Source organism: Homo sapiens, chromosome 6, assembly GCF_000001405.40.
Source record: "Homo sapiens chromosome 6, GRCh38.p14 Primary Assembly".
In the NCBI taxonomy this organism is placed as follows: Eukaryota; Metazoa; Chordata; class Mammalia; order Primates; family Hominidae; genus Homo; species Homo sapiens.
In genome coordinates this window covers 2,610,538-2,621,491 of record NC_000006.12, presented here as the reverse complement: position 1 = coordinate 2,621,491, position 10,954 = coordinate 2,610,538, and positions in this window count along the sequence as shown.

Sequence of the window (10,954 nt, the reverse complement as noted above, 5' to 3'; positions counted from 1 at the left end):
AGTAATCAATGACCACAGATTTAGGGGCTTAAAGCAATACACACTTCTCTCTTCTTTCTCAACTGTTTCTGTGGATCTGTTTCCATTTTATTTTATTTTATTTTATTTTATTTTAGATTTGGGGGGACACATATGCTTGTTTGTTACATGGGTATACTGCCTACTGGTGGGCACTAGGCTCCTAGTGTACCCAATACTCAAACAGTGAACATTGTACCCACAGGTAACTTTTCAGCCCTTGCTGTCCTCCCATACTGTCCACTTTTGGAGTCCTGAGTGCCTATTATTTTCATCTTTATGACCGTGAAGCATCTCTTATCTCACAGTTTCTGTAGATCAGAAATCCACACGGTATGGCTAAGTTCTCTGCCCAGGATAAAGGCTGAGGTCACGGTGTCAGCTGGACTGAGTTCTCGTCTGGAGGTTCTGGGGGAAAATCTGTTTCCAGGCTCTTTCTCGTGCCTGGCAGAATTTGGTTCCTGTAGCTGTAGGGTTGAAGGCCCCATTTCTCTGCTAGTTGTCAGATGGGGGTGCCCTCTGCAATTGGAGGCCCCTTCCTTGCATGTGGCCCCCCCATCTTTAAGTCTGCAGTGGCGCACGGAAATCTCATGTTCCTTCCACTTCAGACCCCCTCCACCTCGGGCCTCTACACCCAGGTGTGAAAAGCTCGTGGGGCTGGTGAGGCCCACCAGGCACCCTCCCTATCTTGTCAACTGATTTGGGACCTTAATTACATCTGTGAAACCCCATCCATGCCTCTGAGAACACGAAGGAGAGCAGTGGATTCTTTCTCTGTTCCTGGTCAGTGTGAACCCGGGCCAGGACCACCGGCATAGGTGATAATTGTGACAATTTCTTTTGAGATCAGATTACTGGCTGACTCTCTCCCCTCCTGTCAAACTCGGCCCCCAAACCTGCCTCACATGGAAGTGATTTTCAGAAGTTGAGTAACTGGGCTCCAGAGGCAAACCCCTTACTAGCTAGTTACAAATACCATTTGGCATCAGTTCCCGCATATTCTCAAAGCATGCAGTATATCTTAGTGACATGCGTGATGATTGCGCTGTGATATGGGTCATAGGTGCGTATCATGCTAATGGAAATAGTACAAAGAGAAGGAAAAGTGTGCAGATTACCAAATTTGAGATTTGGGTTGGAAGCATTAACTAACATTTACTTTTATTCTCTCCAAAGAAAGGGGCTCTGTTAATAGTGTAAATGTGGTAGAATATCTACCTACTTACAGTAATAAAATACTCTAAACAATTGAAAACCATCTCTAGGTAGTTCACATACTAACTACAAACCTTGAGCTTATTAAATGAAGTTCTTGTTGCTGCCTGCCTGCTCAGGCACCGAGAAGGCAGCTCATCCTGCTTGATTCTTCATTCGTTTATTTTGGATAAGATTGGCTACTACCATCCAGAAAAAGGATAAGGAAAGGTTTTCTTTCCAAAAACAGGGTCTAGGGTGGGATGGATGTATGGTCTTTCTCTTCTCTCCGCATTCCCAGTGACTTTCTTCTGTACTGAGTCCCTTGTTGTAAAGCAGGGAGCCGCTGCAGTGCCAACCTTACCATTGAATGTGAGCCATTCAGTCGGCAGGGCACACGCTTCCTGGGAGCCGCCCTCGCTGCTGTCCTTCACCTTTTAGCTGTTTTCCATTAGCCCCAGCCACTGAAGTCCCAGCCCTGCTTTCGTGGTTCTCTGCGTACTGCTGGCCCCTATCACCCTGGAAAAGAAGGCATTTTTTGGACAGCGTATTATTTCAAACTGTCTTGTGTCAAAATTTGCTAGAATTCCTCCAACTACTATGCACAGAGTTTGCCTATCTTCCTTACCGTCCTCTCCTCTTCCTCCTCCCCCTTCTCTTCCTCTCAAGATTCTCTCAGCCTTTTGTCAGCTCTGAAATGAGCCCCATTTTGATAGGTGCACTCAAGTTCTCCCCCAGCCCTGTGGTTCCATTACTTCTGTGGCCAGTGGATTTTTCCATCCCAGTCCATCCTGGCGTCTCTTCCTTTCATGGCGTTGAATGTTATGGGATATTCCAACATTCTCTACATCTCTGCTCCAAGTCTCTGCCATTCGGCTGGGTTGGCATGTGGTCTAGGAACAGCAGCATATGCATCCCTCGTGGTCTGTTCACTCTCTCACGTCTCTCTGATAGAATATTCCCATGGCTTGGAAATATGGACTCCTAGTGAGGCAATGATACAGTGTCCCAGCTGGCCATGTTTCCTCCCTGGGAAAGCCTGACACAGCTGTGCATGGAAATGTGGTATTTTTGACATATTAACCCATGCATGCTTCTTCCCTCTGCATCTGTGTTTTCCTCTTGCTCTCAACTCTAGCAGATATCTGCCAGGGTATCCTCATTGTCTCGAAGGAGGTGATGTCAAATCACAAAGAAAAATGGTCTAGGAACACTTTTGGCTTTTCAGTACAAAAACTGTAAGTCATTAGAGAAGAAAAGAGTTAGGATACAGGCAAATGCACTGGCCAAGAGCTGGAGTGTATGATGTACAGATTCCCCCACAGACTAGAAGAGACTCTATGAGGCTAGGAGCACAGTGGGGAGGGAACCGGCAGGTTTTCCAGGAGACCCCAGGTGGAATGGTGCATTTGGGCCACTGAGCCATTGGTACCTCTCCAAGACTCCAGGGCCCCTGTTGTGGCCAGAACTGGAGCTGCTCAGCTGTCCTGGAGGCCATGGGAGGGACCCACCGATTCCTTCCTAGTAGTTTTAATGGAAGAGATGTTTGCTGCGGTATTAAGGACTTAATTAAAAATACCATTAGCCTGTGTCTAATGACTACTCTTGCTTGAAAGTAATCATATCGCTTTTTTACGAGGCTATAATTCAGAATTTTCATTAACTTAAATCACCCTTCTTGCTAACTATTTGGAAACGATGCAACTTTCCTACAATTTTCTAGCAACAGAATTTTTTAAACACACTGATCAACCTTCGTCTGTACATTATGTCATGCTGGGTTATGGCAGGAGTCCTTTAATGTGACTTTGGAGCTTTTACAAAGCATCCTGGGAAACCTGCCCTATTTTGACTTAAGAAGAGCAACTCTGTCTTTTTACCTTCTTTTCCAGCAGAACCACCTTACTCCCTGAAGACATAACCAACTTGCTGAGCCAGTTGAAGATGGCCGCACACTCTTGGCCACCCCTTATATTGGGAATGGAATCTACTTGCTCTCCCTTAGAATCTGGGCTTTCATCTGGAAAGTACAGAGGGTTCTCAGGCCTCCTGCTCCCTGCAAACACATTCTCCAATTATTACATCTCGCACTAAGGGTAGTACAGCCATTACAGTTAAGGAGGTTGTATCAGTGCATTATTATTCACTAAAGCCCCCGTTTACATTAGGATTCACTCTTTGTGTTAAAATTCTATGGGTTTTGATAAATGTATAATGTCCAGTATCCACGATTACAGTATCATACAGAGCACTTTCACTGCCCTAAAAATCCTCTGTGCTCTGCCTGTTCATCCCTCCCTCCCTCTAACCCTTGGCAACCACTGATCTTTTTGCTGTCTCCATAGTTTTGCCTTTTTCCACAATATTGTATAACGGGGATCACACAGTATGAAACTTTTGCAGATTGGCTTCTTTCACTTACTAATATGCTTTTGAGGTTTAGGGGCAGTATTTTAATGCAGCAACAGATAATCAAAATTCTTGGAATATCAGGAAAATCCGTTTACCAGTCACTGAGATAACCAAAAAATTAACAGAGGCAAATTAATCATTAATCATGACTTATAAGAAAAGGATTATTTTCTTGACATTTCAGTAGTCTTGGTTATATAGTTCATTTATCTAGAGACATGTTTCAAGCCACTAGCTTGTTCAGAAATAGAAAATTTATTTCATGACTGTCACCAGATTATTCTCTCTAGCTTTTAACATTTTGGTCACTTTCCTGTATGCCAGTCACTGTGCTTAATGCCTTAGCTGCATTTTCTCAACATTCTCAGTAATCTCTCATTTCAAAGAGAAAAGACTGGAGGCTTAGAGAGGCTGCACATCAAACATCACATATTCAGCAGGTGGTAGAGTTGAGATATGAGCCCGGGTTGGTCTGCATCCAGAGTCTATGTTTTAACACTTAGCCTCTTATTGAATATATATAGGAAACATTATTTTGCATACCCATAAGTAGAGCTGAGGAGTCCCCTGAGCCTGGGTGGATCTTCAGAATGTAAAGTCACTCTGGAAATTCTGTCTCAGGTCTTGTGGCATTGTCATGCCCCTTGATGTTTCTGCCCCTTGTTAGGTCGTTTTGCTCCCAGCTTTTTCTATCTGGTGTGTTTCTGCTGCACGAATACACAATGACGTTTAAGGCTTGGAAAGGACAAAGCATGAGAAAATCCTCAAACAGACTGACTTCCTCAGGATGCTGCTTCCGCTTAGAAATGCCTGGGAGCCAATAGTGCCCACCCACGGCTTAACTTTAGGCTCCCTGAATGCCCACATTCCCTAGGGAATCACTGCATGATGCTTGTAAAAGTCAAACTGCCCTCAGAATTAGCCACGCCATTGCAAGGACGGCTTGTTCAACTGAGATCATTTTTCTTCACTGCTTTTTGCCTCAGGCTAAATTGGGAAACCTCTGTGTATTTTGTTCATCCATTGCTATAAAGGAATACCTGAGTCTGGGTAATTTATACAGAAAAGAGAGGTTTATTTGGCTCATGGTTCCGCAGGCTGTACAGCATGGTGCCAGCATCTGCTTTGCTTCTGGGGAGGCCCCAGGAAACTTACAATCAAGGCAGAAGGCAAAACAGGGAGGTGGCATTTCACATGGCAAGGGAAGGAGCAAGAGAAAGAGGGGAAGATCTCAGACTCCTTTAAACAATCTGCTGTCGTGTAAACTGTTATAAGAGCGCCAACAGAGTGAGAACTCACTCATTGCCATGCTGAGGGCACCACAGCATTCACGAGGGATCCCCTCCCGTGGCCCAAGCCCCTCCCACCAGGCCCCACCTCCAACCTTGACACATCAGTATCCAATTATCTATCAAACATGCTTGGATTCTTCTTTTTGTCAGATACTGGAGAATGTACAAGTAAACAAATAACCATAATACAAGCCCATGAGTGCTAGAGTGGAGATCAAGATGGGTATGATGGGCCAGGCATGGTGGCTCACACCTATAATCCCAGCACTTTGGGAGGCCGAGGCAGGCGGATCACTTGAGATCAGGAATTCGAGACCAGCCTGGCCAACGTGGTGAAACCCCATGTCTACTAAAAATACAAAAATTAGCTGGGCATGGTGGCAGGTGCCTGTAATCCCAGCTACTCTGGAGGCTGAGGCAGGAGAATCGTTTGAATCTGGGAGGTGGAGGTTGGAGTGAGCCGAGATCACACCACACACTCCAGTCTGGGCAACAGAGCAAGATTCTATCTCAAAAAAAAAAAAAAAAAAGATGGGTACAATGGTGGCACAAGGGAGGGATTGATTAATTCTGTCCCAGCATCAGGGAAGGCTGCACTGAGGAGGTGATGCTTGAGCTGGAATTCAGCAAGTGTAGAAGAGATGTGTTCATGCAGAGAGGTGGAGAATATCTAGTGAGATGGGAGTGCAAACAGGTGGCCCACCTGATGAGCACTACTGTCAGGCATGTCTGGAGCCTTTTTTGAGGGAAGGATGGGAATATGGGATTTGAAAGGTAGAGGCTAAGGAGCAGGACAAGGAGAAGAGAGCACAGAGCTAATGTACATTTCAGATATGAACTTGAGGAAGCATAATGTTTGCATATTAAAACCTTTACTTCTCTCCAGAATGTCAGAAAAATTAATTTAAAAAAAGTCTTTCTCTACTCTTCTTCTTGTCCTTGACATCATCATCAAAATTCTTAAATGGAGTGTTGTTTATCCTACTTTTTCTTGGCTACACACACACACATGCACGTTATTTTCCCTACAGATGCAGGAAGTTCAGCAGCTTGAAAGAGAAAAATTTAACTTTTAAAACAAAGAGTTTCCTCCACTGAGTTTAGAACCCAGGAAAGTGTGATGTGAGTCATTGGTCCCAGGCACATCCTGGCTCTGCCACTGACTCGAGGGGTGGCCCTGGCAAGTCACCTGAGCCTCCTGGGCCCCAGTTACTCCATTCAGAAAATAATAAAATAGAGGCCAATGATCGTTATGATCTCTTCCAATTCTTTAACTGAATGGCAATTTCCTCAAATTTACTGACCTACACACTAAACACCCTTGAGAATCAGTTGCCCTCTGATTTGTGGACATGGTATTCTATGTGCTACAACCTCTTACCTAAGTCAGTTGGGATCTATTACGAGAAAGCCAATTCTTAGGTCCCAGGCATCTTAGCTACCAAAAGGGAAATGCTGGCGTGGTTACGTCTCTGTGGCCCTCGGTGGCAGGCCTGCTTCATGAAAAATCTGTCCATGTTTATTCAGTGCATGGAAAGCAGAGGTCATGGGCTACATTTTTTCTTTAGCAAGAATGTTCTTTTGGAAGGAGTTGTCAAAATATCACGTTAATTGACAAACAAGGAGTTACATGAAGTATATACAAGCAGAACTGAATAATTCTGGCTGTGCAGAGATTTCAAACAACAGCAGAGGGGCTATTGTAGTCATTACAAAGTACAGCAAGGCTGATGGACTCTCACTTTTATAAACTTTATTTTTTTACATGTGGCCAACAAGCATATGAAAAAAAGCTCAAATATCACTGATCATTAGGGAAATGCAAATCAAAACCATAATGAGATACCATCCCACACTTGTCAATGGCTATTAATAAAAAGTCAAAAAATTACAGATGCTGGCAAGGTTGTGGAGAAATGGGAACACTTATATGCTGTTGGTGGGAGTGTAAATTAGTTCAACCACTGTGGAAAGCAGTGTGGTGACAGCTCAAAAAGCTAAAAACAGAACTAACATTTGATGCAGCAATCCGGTTGCTGGGTATATACTCAAAGGAATAGAAATCTTTCTATCATGAAGACACATGGACGTGTATGTTCATTGCAGCACTATTCACAGTAGAAAGACATGGAATCAACCTAAACGCCCATTAATGAAAGACTAGATAAAGAAAATGTGGTACGTATACACCACGGAATACTATGCAGCCATGAAAAAGAATGAGATCGTGTCTTTTGCAGAAACATGGGTGGAGCTGGAGACCATTATCCTTAGCAAACTAAGGCAGGAACAGACAACCAAATACAGCATGTTCTCACTTACAAGTGAGAGCTAAATGATGAGAACTCATGGATACAAAGAGGGGAACAACAGACACTGGGACCTACTGGAGGGTGGAGCTGGGAGAAGGGAGAGGAGCAGAAAAAATCGCTATTGGGTACTAGGCTTAGTACCTGAGTGATGAAGTAATCTGTACATTCAACCCCCTGACAGGAGAGCAAATGTGACTAATTTTAGGAACAAAGTAAGATAGCTCAAAAAATCTCTCTTCAGAGGAAGAATTTTAGTTATATTTTCGAAATCTTCCTGAAATAGCACCTCCAGAGTTAATGTATCAGAGTGTATTAACACTACATCTTAAGTATCAGGAACATTTTTTAAAAGGGCAGGTAATGAGAGTATCATAATAGACATCTTTAACAACACTAACTTCTTTCTCTTTTCTTTCTTTTTAATCTGAGATGTTATATTTTTAGAGAAGAACCTTGAGTAGTTTGTAAAAGCTCAATTTCCCAAATCTTAAAATAGTTGGTCTGACAATGCTTAGCAACCCTGGCCTTCTCAGTGGCCTCTGCAAACCATTTCGCCTCTTATTGTTAACCTTTTTTGGTGATCATTAGCAAACCTCATTAAGTCAGACAGTGTCTGATTTACCATTTGTGGAAAGCAGAAGAATGGCCCCCAAAGATATCCACATCCTTGTTCCTGAGACCTGTGAATATTTTATCTTATGTGGTAAAAGGGACTTTTCAGGTATACTTAAGTTAAGGCTCCAGAGAGGGGCAGATGATTCTGGATTGTATGAGTGAGTCCCATGTAATCACAAGGGTTCTTGTAAAAGAGAGGCAGGAGGGTCAGAGCCAGAGAGAGTGATATGGCCGTAGAAGCAGAGTTTAGAATAATGGGATGTGAAGACTCAACCTGCCATTGTTGGTACTGCAGATGGAGGAAATGGACCACAAGCTGAAGAACTCAGGTGGCCTTTAGATGCTGGAAAAGACAGTGAAATGGATCCTCACCTGGAGCCTCCAGAAGGAAAATCATCTTGCTGATGCTTTGACTTTAGTATAGTGGAACCCAGTTCAGACTCTGACCTCCACTCTCACACAACAGACTCATGTTTTTTTTTCTTTATGTACATATATATATGTATTTTTATTATACTTTAAGTTCTGGGGTACATGTGCAGAACTTGCAGGTTTGGTACATAGTTATACATATGCCATGGTGGTTTGCTGCACCCATCAACCCATCATCTACATTAGGTATTTCTCCTAATGCTATCCTTCCCCTAGCCCCCCATCTCCCGACAGGCCCCAGTGTGTGATGTTCCCCTCCCTGTGTCCATGTGTTCTCATTGTTCAACTCCCACTTATGAGAGAACATGCGGTGTTTGGTTTTCTGTTCCTGTGTTAGTTTGCTGAGAATGATGGTTTCCAGCTTCATCCATGTCTCTGCAAAGGACATAAACTCACCCTTTTTATGGCTGCATAGGATTCCATGGTGTATATGTGCCACATTTTCTTCATCCAGTCTAGTGTGGAGATTTCTCAAGGATCTAGAACTAGAAATAAGATTTGACCCAGCAATCCCATTACTGGGTATATACCCAAAGGATTATAAATCAGACTTGTGTTGTTTTAAGCCACCAAGCTTCAGGCAATTTGTTATAGCATCAGTAGGAGACTCATATACCCTGGGACCCTCAGTGTAAGCCTACCACCGGGCAGAGAACGTGTGCTCAATGTTTATCAGAAGAATACATGGTCCAGGATGAAAATAATACCTAACACTACTTAGCACATAGCAGAAACTTCACAAAAAGTATGCCATTCAATCAAATCCCTATGTAACTGATATTATTATTATCCTTATTTTTAAATGAAGGGGCTGAGATAAAAAAGGTTAGATAAGTAGTCCAAGCTCATGCAGAGAGTAAGTGGCAAGTCGAGATTTGAACCCAAGCAGGGTAGCAGAGCAGATATGGGTGTAGGCACTGAAACCGGACAGCCTTGGGTATGTTCAGCTCTGGGCAGGGCTAGGCACAGTGGCTCACGCCTGTAATCCCAGCACTTTAGGAGGCTGAAGTGGGAGGATTGCTTGAGGCCAGGAGTTCAAGGCCAGCCTGGGCAACATAGAGAGACCTTGTCTGTACAAAAAATTTAAAAATTGGCTGGGTGTGATGGTACATACCTGTATTCCTAGCTACTTGGGAGGCTGAGTCGGGAAGATTGCTTGAGCCCAAGACTCCAAGGCTGCTGTGAGCTGTGAGCCCTGCTCACGCCACTGCACTCCAGCCTGGGCGACAGAGTAAGACCCTGTCTCAAAACAAACAAACAAACAACCTCTGGGCAAGGTGTCATGCTTTGGTCTTCTCATCTGTAAAATGGGAATAGTAACAGTCCCTGCCAGAGGTTATTATAAGGGTTAAATGAATTAGTCCAAATAAAAGTCATGGAACAGAATTTGGAACACAATGAGGGCTCCATAAATGTTAACTACGATCATTACAAAGACAAAGCTTGTAAAGAAGGTCCCACAATCACTAGATGAGGAAACATGTGAAGCCACTTTGTATGTCTAATGTGCATAGAAATGTAAATTGTCACTATTATTCTTCTTAATCATGATTGTCATCACATATCAGTAAGTGGCACAGGAACTTGTCCGCTATGATCAGGAGAATGCAGTTTACAAAATCCAGAACTAAAACTGTAAATGTACCTATAACACTTGGAGAAGGGGAGAGAGCTGATCTCAAACTAATTGATGTTAGTTTAGGGGGATTTGGTTTCTTGAGTTGATGCCTATTTCCTACCAATACGTTGGACACAGAATGACAACTGGGTAGAAATCCAGTTTCCTAGTCCCCCACACCACTCAGCTGGTCCACACGAAGCCAGCTGGACTGAGGGTGGAGATTTCTTGGTACCATTTACCAGACTCTGAGACACTCCTCAGAAGGAAGTTAAGATATGAAAACATTGACAGTGATGAATCACTTGCTGGCCAGGCTGCAGCAGCAATGCTGGGATTCAGAGCAATCACTGCCACCTGGAGCCTCATGAGAGGACATTGCTTGTGTTGCTCCAGAGCCCTATTATGGTCATTTACTAACATTTGCAAAGCTGTAAGTGAAAAAGTTATCAAGGGAATGAGAAGACATGCCACAGACTGTGAGAACATACTTGCAAAAGACACATCTGAGAAAGGACTGGTATCCAAAATAGACAAAGACTCTTAAAACTCAACAATAAGAAAACAACTCAATTAGAAAATGAGCCAAGAGACCTAGCAGATCCCTCACCAAAGAAGGTATACAGATGGCAAATAACTGTATGGAAAGATGCCCCACATCACAGTCATCAGGGAAATGCAAATTAAAACTATGAAATACCAGCACACAGCCGTTAGAATGGCCAACATCAAATGGTGAGAATGTGGAGCAACAGGAACCCTCATTCATTGCTGGTGGGAACGCAAAACAGTACGACCACATTAGGAGACAGTTTGGCAGTTTCTTACAAAACTAACATACCCTTATTATATAATCCAGTAATCATGCTACTTGGTATTTACCCAAAGGAGTTAAAAACTTATGTCCACACAAAAACCTGCACACAGATATTTATGGCAGCTTTATTCATAATTGCTCAAACTTGGAATCAACCAAGATGTTCTTTAGTGGGTGAATGGATAAATAAACTGTGGTACATCCAGACAATGGAATATTATTCACACTAAAGAGAAATGAGCTA